General features: G+C 42.5%; 2 pseudogenes, besides 2 other annotated features; one reads left to right on the top strand and one right to left on the bottom strand.

Moving 5' to 3' along the window:
- Positions 7,031-8,509, bottom strand: PSMC1P2 (proteasome 26S subunit, ATPase 1 pseudogene 2; annotated as a pseudogene).
- On the top strand, positions 11,345-13,845 carry EIF4HP1 (eukaryotic translation initiation factor 4H pseudogene 1; annotated as a pseudogene).
- Positions 16,056-16,350: an enhancer, noted in NCBI's record as "tiled region #2106; K562 Activating non-DNase unmatched - State 10:DNaseD, and HepG2 Activating DNase matched - State 3:PromF". NCBI's record gives its function as "activates a minimal TATA promoter and a strong SV40 promoter by Sharpr-MPRA in K562 cells, with weaker activation in HepG2 cells {active_cell/tissue: HepG2 | K562}" and the evidence as "EXISTENCE:reporter gene assay evidence [ECO:0000049][PMID:27701403]".
- Positions 17,492-17,715: a silencer, noted in NCBI's record as "fragment chr7:27492124-27492347 (GRCh37/hg19 assembly coordinates)". NCBI's record gives its function as "represses an EF-1alpha promoter that drives an FKBP-Casp9 reporter gene in an ReSE screen in K562 erythroleukemia cells {active_cell/tissue: K562}" and the evidence as "EXISTENCE:reporter gene assay evidence [ECO:0000049][PMID:32094911]".

Here is a 25,581-nt window from a genome sequence, read left to right as displayed (position 1 = left end):
TGAATTGATTCTCCAATTTTCTCTTCTCAATTTCTTTGACTATTTATTCTATTTACTGTGAGAGTTACTCAATTACCTCCTAATTCGTTTATTACTTGTAAAATTTCTGTCATCATGGGCTTAATTTCCAAGAGCTATGTCTTGTTTGCTGGATCTTCCTTCCTTCTAGTATCTGATTTTTCTTACTCTCTGAGGATATCAATCACTATTCCAGAAGCTTCCCCCTGCTCCTTGCATTGTTTCTGTGTCCTCTACAAAGGCTGCATCATAGGATAGCTAACTCAATGTGCAGCTTGAGCCAAAGAAACAGAAGGAAATCAAGATTAAAACCTGGTTCTTTTAGCCCCTGAAGACACTGCACCATAGTGAATCTCTTTGTAAAACATTTGACTTCTCCTTCCTTTCAGTGCTGCTGCTTTTTCCTTAATCAAGTGGCTTAGTGAGATTTTAGTCAAAATTTTTATTGGTCAGGACTCTCTGGAGAAACACACACATACACACACACACACACTCTATTGGTTATCTCTCTCTCTCTCCACATATGTATGAAACTTGGAAACCATCTATTTGTCATTCTTGTTATGTATATGCCTATGGAGAGAGTGAGAGAGATTATAAGGAATTGGCTCACGAAGGCTGGCAAGTCCAAAACCTGCAGAGTAGCCCAGCAGGCTGGAGATCCAGGGAAGAGCTGATGTTGCACTTCAAGTCCAGCTATCATTCGGTGGATTTTCTTCTCTGCTATGTCTAAACTTAAAAAGAAAAGAAAAGAAAAACAAACAGAAACCCTCTGAACCTGTCCTTATTCTCACAGCTTCTAATACTACCCCTGTGGGAATCCATAGTGCCTCAACGTTATTTCTAAATCGTTCTGTACACAAGACCTGGTTCTGCCTCAACTACCACCTACAGGACAGTTCCCCTAGAAGATTTTGGTGCTTCAAGTGTAACACTTTCACACCAATCTAATATCAAACCAATTTTCCACAATATTAACTTCTCACTCCAGCAGTCACTCTTCTCTCAGTCTCTCAGGCTTGAGACTCAGAAACCACCTGTTCGTCATTCTCGCCTTGTATCCCAACAGCCATTAGCACCCAGCTGATGCTCCCTGGGAACTCTTCTCTTATTCCCTCCCCATTCGATGTTACCCTCTCGACATGGGACGTGCTTGGCCATGTTCTGTGCTCCAGGGACTGTAGTGAGGCCCAGCACTGTGAAAGGGATAAGACATGGTCACTGTTCAAGGAACTAACAATCTACAACCTGGAAGCACATGACACGGCTGGCTTGTAAGTCACTTCAAGTTAGGGGTGTGTCTGGGCATTGTTTAGATGCCTACTGTTGCAGGCTGGGCTACCCAGGAAGCAGGCTCTGAGGCAAAGATGAATTTGCAGGAGCTTTGTCGGGGGGGGGGCGGTGCTCTTGGGATGACACCCAAGGGAAGGGAGGAGAGGGAAGCAGGATCGGGCAGTGGGAGGAGTCCAGCTGTGGTGTGGTCTCAATGGCAACCTTGGTAGATGCTAAGGAGAGTTCTGAAGCAGAACTTTTCAGAGTTGTCCCAGTTGGGGAACACGGGCCAGGACGTTATACCTCCATGGACCAGTCATTGGATGCAGCAGGCCACCCCGGGAAAGGGGGTGACCTTGGATGAAGCGGCTCCTCATTGGGCAAGGCAATCTCTGAGGGCTTCCTGCTGGCAGCAGTCCCTGCAGCTGTAGAGTGGCCCTTCATCCCTTAAGGGGCATGTGGGTGGTGCAGGCCTGTGGCACCCACCAGACCTGTGGATGCTGGTACAGTCTCGACACACCTCAGCGTAGAGAACAAATAGGGGTTGAGTAAGTAAGCAATTCAGGAAGACTCAGGTAATCTTTTGGTAATCTCAGGTAATGCGTTCTGTTTGTTACATGCCTACTCCCACTCCATCAGAATGGGTTAGGGATTGAATTAAAAAACAGTAAGATCACAGGCCCTGCCTGAAAGAAAGAAGCTTATAGTCCAATAGTGGCTACCAAAAGGTAAACAAACGGGGCAATATAATGAGAATCAGAAAACAGAGGGTTATGGAGTAAAAACACATTTTCAAAGAAGTCTTAGGGCATGACAAATGCTAAATAAAAAAAGAGGACACCAACTGTTTGTGTAAGCACTCATCTTCCAGCACACACTTTTGTTATGCTGGTGCCAAAAAATCCCTTGTAATTTGATTTTTAAACTAAGCAATTTTTTAAGTTGCCAGTCACCTAGAAACAATAAATGCACTGAACTTTTTCTCAGTCAAAGTTCCCCTTGTCTTTTTACAGCACTTATTTTTTTTCTTTTCTGAGTATGAAAGTTTTACAAATATATAGATGGAAAAAATACTGGAAAGAAATTCATCAAAATGTTAACAGTGCTTATAACCCCCAAGTAGTCAATTTATATGCATTTTTTTCTTTAAGTTTTTTTATTTCCCACATTTTCTACAAGTGTGAGTGACTTTTATAATCAAGGGAAATATACTTTTTAAATATAGTGTGAAAGTGTTGCGACAAAACTGTGTGAACACAGAAGATGAAAACACAGAGCAGCAGGTGAGGGAGAGCTTCCTGGAAGAAGTGTCACCCGCACCAAGCATTAAAGGTGAGCTGGGGCTGGGTGAGGAAAGGATGGAGCACATGGTGCTGCACTTGAAGGGCACAGGCAGAAAGAACAAAACGTGCCATGGCCCTAGAGTGTGAAGAAGCATGTTGGGTAAAAGGCTGAGAAACAGGGAGCCCTTGAGAGGGAAGAGATGAGGCTACAAGGGCAAGAAAGGGCAGAGGATGAAGGGCCTCCAGGGATTAGGGGTGCAGATCTGGAAGCCCACGTCACACCCTTGCACTCAACCTCTTCCAGCTTAAAAGGCTTCATGATTGAACAGGGTATTGATTAATGGATGCTGTTTTGTGGAACTAATTTAGAAGTAAAAACTGATTTAGAGTGAAAAGCTTCATGCTTGACATGAAGTTTCTCAGCCTAAGCAAGGTGACCTGACTCAGGCAGAGAAAGTGGTCTGTCAATGCGAGAGATGATATAGACATGACTACACACACACACCACCCCACACCCTTAAGACTCTAGAATCTACATTTTTTAAAGGAAGAAGAAAAGAACCAGCTCAGGTTCACTTTGCATACTTTAAAAGTAATAACCAAGATTTGCAGGTAGTCCTTATCCAGGGATCTGAACTCTCCGCAGGTCATTAACAATGTTAACTGTTAGCAGCCTGGGAATCCATTAAAAACACATGTCGGGGGCTGTGGCCATCTAATGCTGCAGGAATGCATTTGGCTGAGTACTGAACTCACCTTTGCAGACCTCAGAACCTCTCTGTCGTCCTGTGTGCCAGCTGGGCTGGGTTCGCTGAAGATGCCCTTAGGACTGTTTTATCTGGGGCACCCGCACTATTAGCACCCACACTCATTTCCTGTTCCTGCCTCAATTTTGTCTGTGTCTGGGAAGAACTAGTGGTCACTGCAGGCCACTGGTTTTTCTCCTAGCCCAGTCCTTCCATCCCTATCCCTATCCCTATCCCTGTCCCTGTCCCTGTCCCTGTCCCTGTCCCTGTCCCTGTCCCTGTCCCTATCCCTATCCCTATCCCTATCCCTGCACTGCCTCACTGCCTGCTTGGACTCTTACTGCATCCACTCAGGATCTGCAATCCGCTTCCACTTGCAACCTTGCTCCCCTCCTACTTGCTTCCCCCTGGCCACCTGGACAATCTCTGAAGCAGAGATGAAGGAGTCCTTTACTTGCTCAAAACTTGAATGACCCCCAGTTACCCGTGGCAGAGTCCAACTTCCCCACCATTTTTACATGCACCTCCCACATCCAAGGCCCTCCATGGTCTGGCCAGACCTTACCTCTGCAGAACCGTCTCCTACCATCCCCCATGGACTCCCTCCATGCCAGCTGGCCAGGAGCACCCTGTCCACAGAGCACAGACATTGCCGGTTGCCCCCGAGGACCCTGCTCACACTAAGCTATTAAGTAGGTGTAAAAGTAATGACAGTTTTGGTCATTTTTTTAAAAAAGTAATTGCAAAAACCACAATTACTTTTGCACCAACCTTTTGCAACTTTTTTTTGCCTTCTTCTCCGCCAGGATGTGGTGGAAAGGATAGGCTTCAGAATCAGACCGGCCTCCTGGGTTTTAATCCTGTATTAGCATCACTAAATATGTGATCTAGAACAAGATATTTAGTCTCCCTACACTTCCTCATTTATAAAGCAAGGATCTTATTCTCTGCCTCAGAAGGCTGTTGTGAGGATTATATCCGATGTTTACGTAACACAATGTACAGGGGGACATATCCTGTTGTCTTAGGTTTTGACTGAACTTCCAAATGGAGACATGGGGGGAAAGGAACTCTGTATTTGAAAGAGTGGAACAAGAAACATCCCTCCGGATTCACAAAGGGATTCAGCAAGCATGGCCCTAGTAGACTTTCCAAGAGGAGGCTAGAGCTTCACCGCCCTTCATAGGGCTTACATATTAAGTTTACCAGGTAGCCCCATGGGGGCCCTACCTCACTGGAGGGGAGAAGGCAGAAACCTCCCTCAGGATCTATGGCAAAGCCTTTTCTAAAATACCTTCCGGCAACCCACCCCCCATATATATAAGATATTTATTTATTTATGAGACAAGATCTTGCTCTGTCTTTAGGCTGGATTGCAGTGGTGAGATCACAGCTCACTGCAGCCTCAAACTCCCAGGCTCAAGCAATCCTTCTGCCTCAGCCTCGCAAGTAGCTGGGACTACAGGCATGCACCACTGTGCCTGGTGTCTTTACACAAATAAAGATGTTAGTTAAAAATCACGAAACCACAACACATGAACTGATCAAGGTGGAAAGGCAGAGAAAGGCAGCTGATTCCTGACAGAATTACAGGGTGGTGGCCAGGGTGGAGGTGGCAATAGCCAAAGTGTCTTTTTTTCAAAATCTCTGCTGAGAATGTACTGTCCATCTTCTTCTAGTCAGGGATTGACTAGTGGGTTGTAAGGTTGCCAGCTTGCTCAAATAAAGACAGGAGACTATTAAACAGGTATAGGAGTGGCTCATGGAAGTCAGGTGCAGCTGGTCTTCATGGGGATTACAGATGGCAACTAGGAAGCCGTCAGGGACTCAGGCAGAACTAAACTGGATACGAGTCTGAAGTTTTGTTTTAGGATGAATTGGACCTTAACATGTCTGTGATTAGGACTGTTTTATTTTTATTTGTAGAGGCTGGGTATCATTCTGTCATCCAGGCTGGAGTGCAGTAGCATGATCTTAGCTCACTGCAGCCTCAAACTCCTGGGTTCAAGTAATCCTCATGCCTCAGCCTCCCAAAGTGCTGGGATTACAGGCATGAGCCACAAAGCCTGGCCAGGACTGTTTTAATAACTGAAAGTGACCGGGAGAGATAGGCAACTAATATTGTCCAATTTCTGATAGACTGTGTTTAAAGGAGATAAATTAAGAAGTTTCTAGATTAAAGCCTACTTCTTTGGGCCCATTTAGTGAATAATTCTCTGCCATGTGTAAAAACATTTAGCACAATGTTTGGCATATAAGTGCTCAATAAATATAGTAGTAACAGTTACTATAGTATTTGCACCTGGTGTCTGGTACACAGTATTATTATTAAATAATGTTATTTAGTAATAATCATATTGTTATTATCCATGTGCACATCTCTCCCCCAACTAGACTGATACTCTGTTTGCTGAACTAATTGTGGCAGGTAGGGGAAGAGGCAGGCAGTGTGAACATGGATTCTTTGCACTCACCAATGAAGAGACATGATGTGCACAGAAAATAGTGAGAAGTAGGAGAATTTGTCCAATGGCAGAGTACTACGTTCGTTGGCTCTGACAGCTGTATCTGGCTCAGATACCTGGAATTCTGCATTCTCTTCAGAATAACTTTAACAAGAAGTAGGGACAATAAGATACATGCAAAAGAGGGAGAATGGAAGAAAAAGGACACTTCTCCTGGTCCACACCGTGCCAGAGACCATGCTGAGCCCTTTTCATTTGTTGTCTCATACAATAAGATGCAATAACATGTGCAAATTGTGGCTGGTATTATCCCAATAAAACATGGATACATTTTTAAAACGTGCCATGCTTGCACAGAGAACTATGAGCCTACTTTTTCCATTATAATTTTTGTGTAAACATGAAACGACAAGAGTTTAAAGACGGAGCCTCCCTGAGCACAAGCTTAAGAGTTCCAAATATAATCAAAATCCTCTTCTTTATTTTCTTGCCTAAGTGGCTTCTCCCAGGAGGATAGCAGTTGCATTTCCTTCATTCTGTGCAGCAGTGGTTGCAAATGAATGTGCTTTACCATCAAAACATATCTATGCACCTCTGCAAGGGTAGTTATCTCATTCAATAATAGGTACAGCCTAGAGACAGTGTAGTTTTAAACCCAAATCTTAGAAATTCCGAGGAATTAGTCACTCACTTGAAGAAAAGAGCAGGAAAGGGTAGGACTGCAATAAAACAACACCTTGTTCCAAATAATATCTCCTTTATGCTTCTAAACTTCACCCAATCCATAGGCTAGTGTGAGTGGATGGCTGTGATAAATGGAGACAGAAGGTGAAGAATGGGAAAGTTATGAAGAATTAACAAGTTCTTCAACCTAGAGTTGGGTTAAGGTTGTGAATATTAGCCAGAGAATGCCTTTACTTTCTAATTGGAATGGGAAGATAAAAGCCTAAGAAAAACTCATAGAAATTTAGATTTATAGATAATTTTGGCATCAACACATATTTGAAGTGCATTACATCAATGATGTCTTAGAAGATTAAAGTCATTGCTATACACAAACCTACGGTACTAAGTCACATCAAAACAAAAATCTGTTGAATTAAATAAATAGGTTTATTTTTTCCTACCTGATGTTTGTTAGGCAGGGCATATTTTTCAGCTTAGCAATTGATTATATGAAAAACTACTGGTTCTAGAACAAACATTTCTGGTTTTTAGTTCGTGTGTGTGTGTAGAGAGAGAGAAAGAAAAAGCACACTTTATTGGGAAGCAGAGTGTTGCACAGTGACCGACAGGCGAAGGCGGCCCAATGGACGTCTTACACATCATACTCCAAAAGACTCACAGGAAGTGTTGCTAATAAAAATAAACTGGAACACGAATTCCTCTGGGCAACTCCCCCAACCTCATCCCTTTGAGGGCTTGGGAAATCTCCCAGCCATTTTCCTGATGGCAACTGTGGTTCACTAGAGACAGAGCCCCTTGGGGGTGTCTTCCTGTTCTTTATAAAGAACATTTTCTTGAGATTTTTTGAAGTTTTCATTTGTTACTTTCATTCCATGTTCTTTTAAGGCCATCAGACTAGCTTCTGTGCAGATTGCCTTGATGTCAAGTGTCAAGTCGTTCCAGGGTTACATCATTGGCCAGTGTCATGCTGCTTGTGTGCATCTGAAAGATGTGCTTCTTAGTCTTTTCATCAGGCAGGGGGAACTTGAGCTTCCTGTCAGTGTAGCCTGGTCTGATAAGTGCTAGATCCAAAGTTTCTATTCGGCTTGTGGATATGATAACTTTCACATCTCCCCTTGAATCAAATCCATCCAACTGGTTCAACATTTCCAGCATTATTTGCTGAATTTCTCTCTCACTATCAGAATTTGAGTCACATCTTTTTGTCCTAATAGCATCAATTTCATCAATAAACATGATGGAAGGTGCATGTTCTTCAGCAACTAGAAACAATTCCCATATGAGTTTGGGCCCATCATGTAGGTATTTCTGAATAAATTCAGAGCTGATCACTTGCAAGAAAGTGGCTAAGATGTGGTTTGCTACTGCTTTGGCTAACAAGGTTTTACCTGTGCCAGGTGGACCATAGTGAATGACTCCCTTAGGGGGCTTTATACCCATCTCTTCATAATATTCAGAATGATTTCCTTAATTTCCTGAATTTGGCTGTCCAACCCCCCAGTATCAACACAGGTCTCCTGGGGGGTCTTTTCCACCTTCATCATTGTGACTAGGGTATCCGTGTCATCCATCAGCACCCATATCACAGCACGAACCTTGTGGTTGAGCAGGACCGAGCAGCCAGGTTCCAGCAGATCCTTGTCTACAAGAATGCTCTGAGCCCACAGATGTAGACATGATGGCATGATTGTCATCAATAATCTCTTCCAAGGTTACTACTGACATCAGGGTCCCCTCAGATCATCCACTTTTGATCTTTCCTCCTCTTGCTTTCCTTCTAATAGTTTCATTTGTTCCTGATTTCTAATGAATTCTTCCTTCATGAGAAGACAGTATTTAATTATCTCTAACTTTCAATAATTTTAACTGGCACAGAGTGTGAGGTGTCATCAGTGGCAGTTTGCTGGCAGCATCTGGTCCCTTTGTTTTCTTCTTCTTCCTCACTCTAGCTGGTATAGGAGGTTCATATTTCTTTTTCTTGTCCTATCATCCTTCTTTCCAGCTCCAAGACCATGACCACCACTCTTGACTTTGACCCATCTTGCCTTGGCCACTCAAGCTGCCTAGTTTTTAAATTTTTTTTTGTACAGATGAGGTCTTGCTACGTTGCCTGGGCTAGTTTTGAACTCCTGGGCTCAAGCGATCCTTTTGCCAAAGTGCTGGGATTACAGGTGTGAGCCATCGCACCCGTCACAGAACAAACATTTCTTGACATGGATGCAACTATCTTAGGATAGTTGTATCTGGAAAGAATTTGCTTCCAGAGACTTGGCTTTTAAAAGCCTACTGAAGATAGAAGGTAAATTCAGCCAGAAATACATCCACGTGATTTGGTTCAGTAAAATTCCATGTGCTCTGTGAAGCTATTACTTTATCTTTCACTACCTGTGTTGAACAATTCTAAAACAGAACTGTCTTATTGACTTGGTTTCAGGCTTATCTGGAAAGGTGGGCATAATAACTTCTCTGTAGCTCAAAACTCATGGGATGTGTGGCTAGAAGTCTTAGGTTAGTGTCCCAGAATTGTTCTGAGTGGCTCTGTGAGTATCTCTGTGGCAGGCACAGCTAGCAGCCTACTAGTTATTACTCTCTTTTCACCTTCCATTTCAGAAACATCATTTTACCTAGAGCAGCAATGTGTCCTACTCAAAATACTCACATCCCCATACTTCCTTGCAGCTGGGGCTGATACTTCATTTTCTAATTATCTTATTAGTACTGAGTAATCCCTTTAATTGCAAGCATTGTTCTAATCTTGATTTTATTCACAGAATATTACATTAAAAAGGAAATAGTGGTTTCACCAAGACCCCAGTGAGATGAACCAGGCTAAACCTTTGCCCATAACTTATTGTCCACTTATCTAAAAAAGGAGTCATTCTAGAACTAAGCTTCATTTGAAGTGTGGCATCAGGGAGCTTTGACACTAGAGCAAGATCCTTAGCAGAAGAATGAATCAGGGTTTAAATCAGGAAATCTTTAATTCAGAAAAAAGTATTTAACATTTAATAAGATTTCAAATAATGTTCACTGTTGACTATCTTTTTAAAAATAAAGACCCTGGCTAGGCGCGGTGGCTCATGCCTGTAATCCCAGCACTTTGGGAGGCCGAGGTGGGCGGATCACGAGGTCAGGAGTTCAAGACCAGCCTGGCCAACATGGTGAAACCCAGTCTCTACTAAAAACACAAAAATTAGCTGGGCGTGGTGGCATGCATCTGTAATCCCAGCTACCTGGGAGGCTGAGCCTGGAGAATTGCTTGAACCTGGGAGGCAGAGGTTGCAGTGAGCTGAGAGCGCGCCACTGCACTCCAGCCTGGGCAACAGAGCAAGATTGTGTCTCTAAATAAATAAATAAGACCCCAAGATTGAAGAATCATAGGTACTTTAAAAATTGTCTTTATACTTTTCCATATGTTTTCAAATTTTCTACAGTGAAGATCTACTACTTCATAACCAGAAAATAAAGATATTTTGGAGTACAGTAAAAGAGTTTAGAAGAAAAAAGAAAGGCCTAATAAATATAATTTCCTTAGAGAACACTAGATATTACATAAGATAATATTAAGAAAAACATCAACCTTAATATTTTCATCAGATGTGCTTTTGAGTGTCAGTTGCAGTTTGTTTCTGTCATGTGTGTGTTCCAAGTAACTGAAGTTTTTAATGTCCAAGAATTCAATAATGTACTCTAAAATTCCCACTGATCTAATAATTTTTCTCCTTATGGACATGCATGAAAAAGCCCATTATCTTCAATGCAGAATTCTGCTTGCAGAAATGGCCTAAATGTTGTTGGAAACAATAAGAATTGAGCAATCCAAATAACGCCAGCCTAACACTAGTATGACATTTGGTTAGGGAAGATGTCCCAAGAGAAATGTAAACTATTTGAAAACATTCTGTTACTAAAACTTGGACATAAAAAGAATGACAAATGGACTGGATGCAACAACTTAATTCTAAGCACGCATGGGTTTGGCTGCTGTGAATGCATTTTAACATGTACAGTTTTTCATGTTCTCTTATATGGATATCATCCCCACCACATGAAGAAAGATCAATTGACATTTACTACTTGCCGAAGAACAGGTTAGAAGCAATCAGCAACCTCACTTCTGGCCTGGAATCAAGCCGAGTGAGTCACAGAATCCTAGAACCTTGGTGAGAGTCCCATCCAATCTTCCTCCCCAAGTACACCCCTGGGGACCAATGACAACCATCTGCTTAAGAGCTATTACTCTGTCCCCCAAATTAAAAGCTACAGATTGTCAAACAGAAGGAATACAAGAACAACAGAGTAAAATGACCAGATCTGAAACCATTTGTAGAATGGATAATCCCCAGACAGCTTCAGATGCATGTGGCTGAGACCTCAGAAAGTGCAAGTCAAGTGAGAGGGAGTGACGGGTGGAGGCTTTGTTTCCATTCAAATGGGACCAGTTGATAAATGGGTCCAGGAACCCCAGACAGTGTGTGGATGCTATTGCTACATCTTCCCTGCTTACAGTCCAGCTCCATTTGGGAGAATGTGTACAAAGGCTTTTTGGTCCGAGTGGTTTCTTTATGGACAGATTTACTCTTTCAAGACATTTTTTAAGGCAAAGGAAGTGTAATTGGAAACCTGCAGCATGTCAAGAGTTAGCTATTCTCTTGGAAAAAGTAGAATGATTCAGTGAACACTTTGAAGCATGCAATGTGTGATCAATATGTGAGGAGAGAGGATCAAGATGAGGAAATCCTAACTAGGAAAAGAGAAGAGAAGAGGATTTCAGTGTTAACACCATTTAAAAGCCAAGCATTCCTCTGATAATGAACTCTTGCTACAAACCACAAGGGACAACTGCCTTTTGCTTTATTAAAAAATAAAAAGGGGTTCCTCTCGGAGCGGAGACGGCAAATGGCGGACTTCGACACCTACGACGATCAGGCCTACAGCAGCTTCGGCAGCGGCAGAGGGTCCCGCGGCAGTGCTGGTGGCCATGGTTCCCGTAGCCAGAAGGAGTTGCCCACAGAGCCCCCCTACACAGCATACGTAGGAAATCTACCTTTCAATACGGTTCGGGGCGACATAGATGCTATCTTTAAGGATCTCAGCATAAGGAGTGTACGGCTAGTCAGAGACAAAGACACAGATAAATTTAAAGGATTCTGCTATGTAGAATTCGATGAAGTGGATTCCCTTAAGGAAGCCTTGACATACGATGGTGCACTGTTGGGCGATCGGTCACTTCGTGTGGACATTGCAGAAGGCAGAAAACAAGATAAAGGTGGCTTTGGATTCAGAAAAGGTGGACCAGATGACAGAGGCTTCAGGGATGACTTCTTAGGGGGCAGGGGAGGTAGTCGCCCAGGCGACCGGCGAACAGGCCCCCCCATGGGCAGCCGCTTCGGAGATGGCCCTCCCCTCGGTGGATCCAACATGGATTTCAGAGAACCCACAGAAGAGGAAAGCGCACAGAGACCACGACTCCAGCTTAAACCTCGAACAGTCGCGACGCCCCTCAATCAAGTAGCCAATCCCAACTCTGCTATCTTCGGGGGTGCCAGGCCTAGAGAGGAAGTTGTTCAAAAGGAGCAAAAATGAGCCTGCGGTTGGGAGGGAATGGGGCGTGGGGGGTTAGAGCAGGACCACAGCCTGGTGAGTCCCCGGGCAGCCGTCCTGCAGCCGCCACTCCTGCGCCTGCCATTGGCCTCCTCACAGCGGAAACACAGCTTGTGAGTGCATGTCAGCTGTTAACAAGTGGTTTTTAGTACATTCTGGGCTTTGCTGTATCTATCTAGTGCCTGTTTGTGCGTTTTTTTCTTTCTTCCGCTGCTTCCCCATTTTCCTTCTGTCCTTTTTCTCCTGCTCCTTGTTTTCCCAGCAGCACACGGGGTTCCTCGGAGGAGCAGAGGTGGCCGCCGTGGGGGGGCGTTTGGGCTGCGGTGCTGCGTCATTTTTCCTTTGCTTTCTCTTTACTTTAGACACTGGCCCAACTCCAGGAGTTTCCTTTCATTCCCTCAGTGCTTCTCTTCTGACCTGCATGTTGAGTTCTGTATTGCTGGGGCTTCCAACAAAAACCAGAGTCACTGACAGAGGGAACTGCAGAGACCTTGTTGGTATTCAGCTGTGATGGATATAGAGAATCGGAGGCACCTTGTTTTCACAACTAGGATAAAAATATCTGCAGGGTCCTTTCCATTCCTATTTAGAGGGAGTCCTGGCTCCATGACCCCCTCCCGAGTGGACTGTCCAAGCAGATAGGCTCACACGAGAAACAGTGAGGCTGAAAGGGGGGGCCATGGAAGAGCGGTAGGGAGTCCACGGAGAAGATGCAGTGAATGCTTGCATGCATTCACACGTGTGTGTGTCCCAGCTAGTTCACTCCTTTCGCCGTGCGTGGTGGAGGCTCGCCTCTCTGGCCGGGTGCAGTGAACGGCCAGCGGGTTTCTTTTCTGCTGGGCCAAGGCGCTTTGGGGGTGGAGGGGGTGGTGCTGGCGCTGCACTGGGCTGACTGCGGCGCTGACACAGCGTTTCCCCCCATCCCTGTTGCCTGTGTGTTGTGTGGATCTGTTCCTAGTATAGGCAACATAATGAGATACTGTGCTTCCCACCTCCCCTTCAGTTCAGAGCCAAAATGGGTCTAGAATCTGGCACTTTACTCATTTCCTTTGATAAATTGTACTGTGCAGAGCTGTCAGGAACCTTCAGATAGCAGTAGAGGACTGCAGCTGCCTAGGTCTGCGGCCACATCTTGGGGACACACTGGATTGTTCCCATGTGCAGGGTTCAGCACTTACGTGGGAGTGCTAGGGGTTAGGCTTTTGAGCTTGAACGCCTGCGTGTGAACAGATGAAAAATCCTTCAGTACCCAAGTCCCAGTCTGTCCTATGGGGAGCAGTTTGGGGGCGGCCGGCAGCAGGAGCCTGGGAAAGAGGCCCTCGCCAGGTGATGGCAGGGCCAGGGTGGCCTGGGGCACCCAGCGGAATGTGCTTAGTATTTGGTCACCAGCCGTCATCCTGGGCTTTTCCTACTGTGTCTTGTTACAAGGCCTCAGCAATCCACAGAACTCTCTCTCCTTCCTTCCACCTGTCAGCTTCTCTGCTTCTGAGATAAGAACCATTTGTGTAACACCAACACTTAACTTCAGAAAGACATGCATTATGTGGTGTAATCAAACCCGAGGCTTTCAGATGACCTACTTACATCTTCAATGTGGATAAGATAAAGAACAAAACACATGCATCTAAACTGCTGGGCAATCCAGTTGACTTTTAAATGTAAGAATGGAATTCCAAACACTTAACACATTCAGCTATATGACAGAAAGTAAATCTATGGATATGGTATTTTGTGAATGATCTTTTAAATAAAAGAAAACCTTACGTAATATTTAAAAAAAATAAAAAATAAAAATAAAAAAATAAAAAGATGGGGATGTCTAGACAAGAAAAATATTAGAGATCATGTCTTAAATGTTCTTGTACTGGAAGACATAAAACCACATACACCCTCCTTTCTCACTTTCCTGCTTTTTTACAACCAAAACCCAAGAAGGAAAAAATTGTGGAAGAAATTGTCTGGGTCCCAGGGCCATTCCCACATATAGGAAAAGCATGTGCCTCAATGTGACTGAAAGACTTCTTCTCATCTCCTTTGTAAGATAGTGAGTGTGTGGAGGGTTGGATCTGTGTTGGATTTTTTCTTTTTTTTTTTTTTTTGAAACGGAGTCTTGCTCTGTCGCCCAGGCTGGAGTGCAGTGGTGCAATCTCGGCTCACTGCAAGCTCCACCTCCGGATTCACGCCATTCTCCTGCCTCAGCCTCCCGAGTAGCTGGGACCACAGGTGCCCGGACCATGCCCAGTTAATTTTTTGTATTTTTTTTTTAGTAGAGACGGAGTTTCACCATGTTAGCCAGGATGATCTTGATCTCCTGACCTTGTGATCCGCCTGCCTCAGCCTCCCAACGTGCTGGGATTACAGGCGTGAGCCACCGTGCTAGGCTCTGTGTTGGATTTTTAAACCCCTCCTTCATAACACTGTATCAGCCACAGAATGGTCTCTCAATAAATGCTAGGTGAAAGGAATGAATGGAATGGAATTATGACAACTTGGATTTTTTGTTGTTCTTATTCTTTAAGTCATATTTTCTGTGAGTTGCTGTTTAGATTGGAGTTTTAATAAGAATCACACACATGGCTGAGGACAGAATAAAGAAATACGAAGAATGAGGACTGGAGAGGTTGGGATAAAGAGAGTGTGATGTGGCTGCAGTTACCCTCATCCCTTCAATGAGGAAAGTGGACGAGGATGACCTCTAAGTTCCTTCTAGCTTCAACGGATTGTGAGTTTTCCTGCATCCTCCCATGTCATTAATACTTTAGCTTTAAGCACCTCCCAATTCAAACCTCCTCTGCAATATTGCCTTTTCTATCCATTCCATCACTGTTAATCTAACATATTAGCATTTCCAACAAAATGGGGACTTCAAATATTTTATTAAAGTATGAGACAGCTCTATAACAGAATGCTGTCAACAATGTGGCTGTTAATATTGATAATGCCACTGGATGACATTGTTCATAATTTTTAAAAAGTTTAAAACAATGATATCATAGTAAAATAACCCTGGAATATCTGGAAGGAAAGAGAGTCACCAATACTGTGATTATCCCTGGATGGTGGGATTATGGGTGGTTTTTATTTTTCTTTTTGAGTGAATGCATTTTCTAGTATTTTTACAATGAACATAAGTTTCTTATGTTACAAAAATAGGAAAGAAATCAAAGACTTCATCTTAAATGATCCTAAAAATGATGGCTTGAGCTATTCTTTAATTTTTCTTTTCTTTCCTTTTTTTTTTTTTTTTTTTTTTTTGAGACACGGTCTTGCTCCATCGCCCAGGCTGGAGTGCAGTGGCGTGATCATAGCTCACTGCAGCCTCAAACTCCTGGCTCAAGGAATCTTCCTGCCTCAACCTCTCAAGTAGCTGAGATTACAGGTGCCTGCCACTATGCCTGGTAATATTTTTCTCAGTGTAGAAACAAGGTTTTGCTATGTTTCCCAGGCTAGTCTCGAACTCATGGCCTCAAGTGATCTTCCCATTTTGGCCTCCCAAAGTGCTAGGATTACAGGTGTGAGCCACCGTACCTGGCCTCATTATTTAACTTTTCTATGGAAGGAGATTCTTTGCCTTCCACTTATCCATTGAAGGCTGCTGGTGTTTTTTGTTGATTCACAGCAGGACTAAAGCTCTCCACTTCCAGAATTTACCTCCAGTTTACTTTGACACCACTTTCGCTCAGGCTCTTCACAAGCATTGCCTCTTCCCCAGTTGTTCTGTGCCAGATCCACTGAGATCCGCCTAGTTCTGTCTCCTCTCATGGAGCTGGAAGGCTGACAGCTAGACTCTCAGACTCCTAGACTATGGTTCTGGACGTGATTTAGATTCTGCAGTGAGATATGCCCTTGCATAAAGATTAGAAAGAGAGAAGCAGAGGCCATCTTCCTGCAGCAGTGCTGCCTGACGAGCAAGCACTATTGGCAGCAGCTGGTCTCTAACAATTTCTTGGGTATAGGGTGACTGTGGCAGCAGCCAGAGTGGAGGCAGTTCAGTGTCTGGTAGTTTCCTGACTTCGTCATCATAGCTGCTGTGGTGTGACCTTGAAGCCAATCATCTAGCCTAGCGACCCCATGACTCATTCCTCCGGCCCCTCCAGTGACTTTGTAGCAACCTCATTCCCTGTGTTTCATTCCTTTCTTCTTGATGTGACCGAAGTTGTCCCCCCTCATCCCCCACGACAGAGTCCTGGTTCAGATCCCATCTGCTTCATGAAGCTCACTGAAGGTTTTGGGAGTCTAACAATGGCCTCACCTTGTGGATCTTCATTCCACAAGAATAGAGCAGTGACAACAGGCTGGGAGGGCCCCTGTGGAGGGCTGGAGAAGGAGAGGAGGCCTGAGAGGATCCTGGGGCTTTTGTTTTCTCTTTGAGGTTTCATGTTAAAGGTTCCTTGAACAAAGTATGCCACAGCTACAAGAGCTTTGAAACCCTCTGGACTACTTTTTTTTTTTTTTTTGACACAGAGTCTCACTCTGTCACCCAGGCTGGAGTGCAATGGCGTGATCTCGGCTCACTGCAACCTCCGCCTCCTGGGTTCAAGTGATTCTCCTGCCTCAGCCTCCTGAGTAGCTGGCATTACAGGCATGTGCCACAACGCCTGGCTAATTTTTGTATTTTTAGTAGAGATGGGGTTTCACCACATTGGCCAGGCTGGTCTTGAACTCCTGACCTCAGGTGATCCACCCACCTCGGCTTCCCAAAGTGCTGGGATTACAGGCGTGAGCCACTACACCCAGCTAGACTACTCTTAAAATAAGAATCTTTGTGCACAGAATATCTGTGATGTTACAACTCAAAGGAATAGAGACAAGAATAAGGTTCATTCCGTGCTTTCCTTGAGATGAGGGACTTGCATGTTTCATTGCAACTCCTTTCAGGGATATAAACCCTCACCCTTCCTGATTCAGTTAAGCCAGGCCCCATCTTCAGTGACACTGTCAACAGCTGGTCACCATCCTCTCTTTAGCAGCCTCTCCAGTCTAGCAGTCCCTCTTCTCTTCATTTTCAAATTTGTGACCATTCAAAGTGAAATTTGAAACTTTCTGCAACAGGATTGGTGATTTATATTATTTTGTACGGAGGGCTAGAACTTCAAGAAAATTGATTTCTAACCAGACCCTGCTGTGCCCTGTCCCATCACAGTAAGGCACAGTAAATGAGAGGCTGAAATAGAAATTCCATTTTTCACCCATCAAGTTGAGTACTTCATCTGACATACCTGCAAAACTAATAGCTGGAGATTTAACACATTTTTCCATAAATACATTTCTCTGTAAATCTAGACTCACAAATACAAAAATAAAAACCCAAAACATTTTTAAAATGCAGCTCCTATAAAAGTAGGAATCATCTATCAGTCCTGAAAGATGAAATTTTTAAAAGAGCAATGATGATGACGATAATGATTCATGTTAACACACCTTTCATCAAAAGCATTCCAGTAACTTTTTTTTTTTTTTTTTTTTTTTGAGACGGAGTCTCGCTCTGTCACCCTGGCTAGAGTGCAGTGGTGCGATCTCGGCTCACTGCAAGCTCTGCCTTCCGGGTTCACGCCATTCTCCTGCCTCAGCCTCCTGAGTAGCTGGGACTACAGGCGCCCGCCACCATGCCTGGCTAATTTTTTGTATTTTTAGTAGAGACAGGGTTTCACCGTGTTAGCCAGGATGGTATTGATCTCCTGACCTCATGATCTGCCCACCTCGGCCTCCCAAAGTGCTGGGATTACAGGCATAAGCCACCGCGCCCAGCCTCCAGTAACTTTTTAAACTTCATGTAGGGGTTGCATCAGGCATTTCTGGTCATCACTGTCTTTGGGGTGAAGCATAGCAACTGTTCAATGACATGATTATAATGTTGGAAGCATTGGAGAATCTGGTCTCCAAAGAAATGCTAAGGAGTATAAAAGTAACTCTGGGCAGTATTACACAGGACCTGGGAGTATTTTTTCGAATATTATGGACTTTTTAAAAGCATGTCAATCACATGTGTTAGAGGGACTTCTTTTACCCGCCCCCTTGACATATACTTGCTGAAGTTTTTGTTTGGTACCAACCCATGAGGAAGACTGTTTCCTTCCAAAGGGACATCTTATGTGAGTTTGCATTTAGGCTTGAGATTTAGGTGGCAGACACAAACAAAATAACTAAGTCAATGGGTGCTCAGAGAATTGGGAGAATATAGAAGAATGTAACATTATTATTATTATTTTGAGTATAATTGCCTTATTAATCAGTATTTGCATAATACTTGGTAAAGCACTTAGCTAATACATGGCTATATTCGCAATTTAATTCACCCAGAATATTTCTATTCAGCATTTATATAGCACCTATTGGTTTATGATGCTAATATAGTAGATTCATGTTTCTGTTAAGGCTTAAATGAAATAAGTTGAAAGCCAAGTCCATTATATTACCTTCTTTATATAGAACATTTCATCATGAAGGATTCCAAATTGCTTTACAAAGTACAGTGAAACCCTTTTACAATGAATTCCTAAGGGGACAGCTAGAGCAGTGTTAGCTGTGGCATTTCATTGTATGAGCACTGTATTCAGCATTATGGGATTGATGGGGAAGGAGCAGATTTTAAAATCGGTATAGCCCTTGGGAACTCAGATTGTGTTATTTGCCAAGATGTCTGCAGTCCAGAGCAAAGGAAAAGTTAAGCTGTTATTGACCTATGAATGAAATTTTTAGGCTTACAATATAAAGTATGAACAAGGAAAGCATTTAATACAAAAACCCCCACCTTAATACAGTAAGTTAGAAATACATCATATACAGAGAATCTGCTAACAAATATCATGTGATAATTAACAGATTTTTTTCAAGAACTCATTCAATTTTCCTTTTTTTAAAATAGTTTGCTCAGATGTAACATTCAGAAAAGTGCACAAACTGCAATGTGGCATATCAATAGATTTTCACAAGTGAACTCACCTGTGTAACCTGTGTACAGTTGAAGAAATAGAATGTTACCAGGATACCCAGGGATCCCCACATGCCCCCTTCCTAGTCATTACCCAATATCCTATAGGGACCACTCACTTGACTTTTAATATAGTACATTGGTTTTGCCTAGTTTTGAGCTTTATGCAAATAGAGTTACACAGTATGTACTCTTTTTTGAAAGCTTCTTTTTCTCAATATTATGTCTGTGAGTTTACACACGTAACTGTATATAGCAATAGTTAATTGACTTTGATTACTTTAGAGTAATCCATTGTATGAAGGTCCTGTAATTTATTCAACAAAAGACATATATAAAAAATATATTAAGAACTCAAATCAGTAAGACAAAAGGAGACAAGTCAACAGAAAAGGGGACAAAATTCATTAGTTACTTTGAGAGAAGTGAAAAGACGATCAGTCTCGTTAGTTATCAGGGAAATGCAAACTAAAATACCAGATACCATTATACTCCCACCACAATGCTAAAAGGAAAAAGACTGACAATACCAAATGTTGGGAGGATGTGGTGATTTTCAGAGTGCTAGTTGGAATATAACATGGCACAACTACTTTGGAAAATTGTTTGACAGTTTTCCGTAAACTGAAACATACATCTACCCTATTCCTGTTGCACTCCAAGGTACTTAAGATAAATAAAAATATATGTTCGTATAAATATATGTGCAAGAATGTTCATACAACTTTATACATAATAGCCTCTAGCCTCAATCAGGAAATAACCCAAATAACCATCAAAAGTATATTGGATAAGTAATTTTTTCTTCTTTTTAATATGTCAAAAAAGCTTTGTTAACAAGCAGAAAAAAAGGCAGCACCAAGGATTAGTGCAGAAGTTAGTAAAATAGCAAACAGAAAAACAATAGAGAAAATCAATGAAACTGAAGGTTAGTTCTTTGAAAAGATCAACAAAATTGACAAACTTTTAGCCAGACAGGAAAAAAAGAGATAAATCTCAAAAATGAAAGAGGGACATTAGTGCTGACGTTCCAGAAATAAAAATTATAAGGGAATACTATAAAAAAATTGTATGCCAACAAACTAGATAACAGATCAAATGGACAAATTCCTGGAAAGGCAGATGCAACCAAACTTACTTAAGAAGAAATAGAAAACGTGAGTAAACCTAAAATAAGTAGAAATTAAATTAGTAATCAAGAAGCTTCCTATAAAGAAAAGCCCAGGACCAGATGGCTTCATTGATGAATTCTACCAAACATTTAAAAAAGAACTGATGCCAATTCTTCACACATTTTTCCAAAAAATAGAAGAGAAGGGAAGACTTCCCCGCTCACTCATGAGGCCAGTATTACTCTGATAGCAAAATCAGACAAAGACATGGCAAGAAAAGAAAAACTACATATCAGCATCACTTGGAATATAGGTACAAAAGTCTTTGACAAAATATTAGGATAGGTAATATAGAAAAATAATTATATACTACGCTCAAGTGGGATTGTCCTAGGGACGCAAAGTTGGTTTAACATCGGATGGTGCAAGATGGCTGAATAAGAATAGCTCTGGTCTGCAGCTCCCAGCATGATTGACACAGAAGACAGTGATTTCTGCATTTCCAACTGAGGTACCTGGTTCATCTCATTGGGACTGGTTGAACAGTGGGTGCAGCCCACGGAGGGTGAGCTGAAGCAGGGCGGGCATCGCCTCACCTGGGAAGCACAAGGGGTTGGGGGATTTCCCTTTCCTAGCCAAGGGAAGCCGTGACAGACTGTACCTGGAAAAACAGGACACTTCTGCCCAAATACTGTGCTTTTCCCAGGTCTTAGCAACTGGCAGACCAGGAGATTCTCTCCCGTGCCTGGCTCAGTGGGTCCCATGCCCACGGAGCCTTGCTCACTGCTAGGGCAGCAGTCTGAGATCAACCTCCGAGGCTGCAGCCTGGTGGGGGGAGGGGCGTCCACCATTGCTGAGGCTTGAGTAGGTAAACAAAACAGCTGGGAAGCTCGAACTGGGTGGAGCCCACCGCAGCTCAGCAAGGCCTACTGCCTCTATAAACTCCACCTCTGTAGGCAGGGCATAGCTGAACAAAAGGCAGCAGAAACTTCTGCAGACTTAAACGTCCCTGTCTGACAGCTCTGAAGAGAGCAGTGGTTCTCCCAGCACAGCGTTTGAGTTCTGAGATTGGACAGACTGCCTCCTCAAGTGGGTCCCTGACCCCCAGTGTAGCCTAACTGCAAGACACCTCCCAGTAAGGGCTGATTGACACCTCATACAGGTGGGTGCCCCTCTGGGTCAAAGCTTCCAGAGGAAGGATCAGGCAGCAATATTTGCTGTTCTGCAGCCTCTGCTGGTGATACCCAGGCAAACAGGGTCTGGAGTGGACCTCCAGCAAACTCCAACAGACCTGCAGCTGAGGGACCTGACTGTTAGAAGGAAACAGAAAAGAATAGCAGCAACATCAACGAAAAGGACAACCACACCAAAACCCCATCCGTAGGTCACCAACATCAAAGACCAAAGGTAGATAAAACCTCAAAGATGGGGAGAAACCAGAGCAGAAAAGCTGAAAATTCTAAAAACCAGAGCACCTCTTCTCCTCCAAAAGATTGCAGCTCCTTGCCAGCAATGGAACAAAGCTGGATGGTGAATGCCTTTGACGAGTGGACAGAAGTAGGCTTCGGAAGGTCGGTAATAACAAACTTCTCCGAGCTGAAGGAACATGTTCTAACCCATCACAAGGAAGCTAAAAACCTTGAAAAAAAGGTTAGATGAATGGCTAACTAGAATAAACAGTGTAGAGAAGACCTTAAATGACCTGATGGAGCTGAAAACCGTGGCATGAGAACTTCGTGAGGCATGCACAAGCTTCAATAGCCAATCCAATCAAGTGGAAGAAAGGATATCAATGATTGAAAACCAAATTAATGAAATAAAGTGAGAAGACAAGATTAGAGAAAAAAGAGTAAAAAGAAATGAACAAAGCCTCCAAGAAATATGGGACTATGTGAAAAGACCAAATCTACATTTGATTGGTGTGCCTGAAAGTGGCAGGGAGAATGGAATCAAGTTGGAAAACACTTTTCAGGATATTATCCAGGAGAACTTTCCCAGCCTAGCAAGGTAGGCCAAGATTCAAATTCAGGAAATACAGAGAACACCATAAAGATACTCCTCGAGAAGAGAAACTCCAAGACACATAATTGTCAGATTCACCAAGGTTGAAATGAAGGAAAAAATATTAAGAGCAGCCAGAGAGAAAGGTCAGGCTACCCACAAAGGGAAGCCCATCAGACTAGCAGTGGATCCCTCGGAAGAAACCCTACAAGCCAGAAGAGAGTGGGGGCCAATATTCAACATTCTTAAAGAAAAGAATTTTCAACCCAGAATTTCATATCCAGCCAAACTAAGCTTCATAAGTGAAGGGGAAATAAAATACTTTACAGACAAGCAAATGCTGACAGATTTTGTCACCACCAGGCCTGCCTTACAAGAGCTCCTGAAGGAAGCACTAAACATGGAAAAGAACAACTGGTACCAGCCACTGCAAAAACATGCCAAATTGTAAAGACCATCGAGGCTATGAAGAAGCTGTATCAATTAACGGGCAAAATAACCAGCTAACATCATAATGACAGGATCAAATTCACACATAACAATATTAACCTTAAATGTAAATGGGCTAAATGCCCCAATTAAAAGACACAGACTGGCAAATTGGATAAAGAGTCAAGACCCATCAATGTGCTGTATTCAGGAGACCCATCTCACGTGCAGAGACACATATAGGCTCAAAATGAAGGGATAGAGGAAGATCTACCAAGCAAATTGAAAGCAAAAAAAAAGCAGGGGTTGAATCCTAGTCTCTGATAAAACAGACTTTAAGCCAACAAAGATCAAAAGAGACAAAGAAGGCCATTACATAATGGTAAAGGGATCACTTCAATAAGGAGAGCTAACTATCCTAAATATATATGCACCCGATACAGGAGCACCCAGATTCATAAAGCAAAGTTGGTTTAACATCCAAAAATCAATTAGGGTAATATACTACATCAATAGAATAAGGACAAAAACCACATGATCAGCTCAATAAATACAGAAAAAGTATTTGACAAAATCCAATACACTTTAATGATAAAAACATTCAACAAACTAGGAATAGGAGGGAACTTCTTCAACCTGATAAAAGATAACTATGAAAAACCCATAGTGAGTGTCATACTTAATGGTGGAAGACAATGTTTTCTCCCAAAGATTAGGAACAAAGCAAGTATGTCCATTCTTGCCTCTTCTATTCAACATTGTACTGGAGGGTCTAGCCAAGGTAATTTGGCAAGAAAATGAAATAAAGTATATGCAGATTGGAGATGAAGAAGTAAAACTATCTCCATTTGCAGATGACATGATCTTATGTATAGAAAATCCCAGGAAACCCATTAACAAACTACTGGAAATAATAAATGTGTTCAGTAAAATCAACTGTATTTCTGTGCAGTAGCATTGAGCAAGCAAAAATTATATTAAGAAAACTGCATTCCAGCCTGGGTGACAGAGTGAGACTCCATCCCCAAAAACTAAAAACTAAAAGGAAAACAATTCCATTTATAATAGTACCTAAAAGAATAAAATGGCTGGGCACGGTGGCTCATGCCTGTAATCCCAGCACTTTGGGAGGCCAAGGTGGGTGGATCACAAGGTCAGGAGTTCAAGACCAGCCTGGCCAACATGGTGAAACCCTGTCTCTACTAAAAATACAAAACTTAGCCAGGTGTGGTGGCATCCACCTATAGTCCCAGCTACTCGGAAGGCTGAGGCAGGAGAATCACTTGAACCTGGGAGGCAGAGGTTGCAGTGAGCTGAGATCGCGCCATTGCACTCCAGCCTGGCAACAGAGCAAGACTCCATCAAAAAAAAAGAAAAAGAAAAAAAGAATAAAACAGCAGTAAATTTAATAAAAGAAGCACAAAACTCATACTCTGAAAACTACAAAATATTGCTGAAAGGAATTAAGGAAGACCTAAATAAACAGAAAGCATCACATGTTCATGGATTAGAAGATGTACTATTATCAGGAAGGCAATATTCCCCAAATTGATCTGCAGATTCAACGTCATTCTTTTCAAAATCCCAGCTGACATCTTTGTAGAAATTGATAAGCTGATCCTGAAATTCATATAAAAATTCAAGAGACACAGAATAGACAAAACAGTCTCTATTTTGTCTTTTAAAATTTATAATTGACACAAAATTGTACATATTTATGGGGTACAGTGTGATGTTTCAATGCATGTGGACATTGCATAATGGTAAAATCGGGATAATTAGCATATATCCATCATTTTAAACACTTATTATTTCTTTGTGGTGATAGCATTTAAAGCCCTCTCTTCTAGCTATCTTGAAATATACAATGTATTCTTATTAGCTACAATCACTCTACTGTGTAATAGAACACCAGAACTTAATTCTTTCTGTCTAACTGTAACTGGCTAGATGTTAGCTAACATCTACCCATCCCTCTTCTCCCCTTCCTCACTCTCTAGTAACCGCTGTTCTACTCTCTATTTCTATGAGATCAATGATTTTAGATTCCACACAAGAATGAGAGTGTGTTTATCTTTATCTTTCTGTGCCAGTCTTATTTCACTTAACCTAATGTCTTCCAGGTTCACTCATGTTGCTGCAAATGACAGAATGTCTTTCCCTCCCTCCCTTCCTTCCTTCTTTCCTTTCTCCCTCCCTCCCTCCCTCCCTTTCTTTTATTTTTATTTTTTGAGACAGGGTCTCACTCTGTTGCCCAGGCTGGAATGCAGTGGTCCAATCATGGCTCACTGCAGCCTGAAACTCCTGGGCTCAGGCGATCCTCCTACCTCGGCTTTCCAAGTAGCTGGAGACTCCAGGTGCATGCCACAACATTTGGCTATTTTTTTTTAATTTTTAATTTTAGTAGAGATGAGGTTTCACTATGTTGCCCAGGCTGGTCTCCAGCTCCCAGGCTTAAGTGATCTTCCTGCCTCGGCCTCCCAAAGTGCTGGGATTGTAGGTATGAGCCACTGCACCTAGCCAGTGACAGTATTTCATTCTGTTTTATGGCTGAATAGTATTTCTGTGTGTGTGTGTGTATAAAATTTCCTTTATCCATTCATCAGTAGATGGACACAAGTTATTTCATATCTTGGATATTGTGAATAGTGCTGTAGTAAATATTGGAGTGCTATCTCTTTGATATACTGACTTCCTTTTCTTTGGATATATACCCAGTAATGGGATTGCTGGATCATATAGTAGTTCTATTTTTAATATTTTGAGTAACTTCCATACTATTTTCCATAATGGCTTTCCATAATACATTTCCACCAATGGTGTCTAACAATTCCATTTTCTCTACAGTAGCTCTTGTTATTTTTTGTCTTTTTTGATAACAACCATTCCAACTGGGGTGAGGTGATATCCATTGTGGTTTTGATCTGCATTTCTCTGATGATTAGTGATATTGAGCATTTTTTCATATGTCTGTTGGCCATTTGTATGTCTTCTGTCAAAACAACCTTGCAAGTAAAGAAAAACTTGGAGTAT

Source organism: Homo sapiens, chromosome 7, assembly GCF_000001405.40.
Source record: "Homo sapiens chromosome 7, GRCh38.p14 Primary Assembly".
NCBI lineage: Eukaryota > Metazoa > Chordata > Mammalia > Primates > Hominidae > Homo > Homo sapiens.
This window is presented reverse-complemented; position numbering and strand designations above follow the sequence as displayed.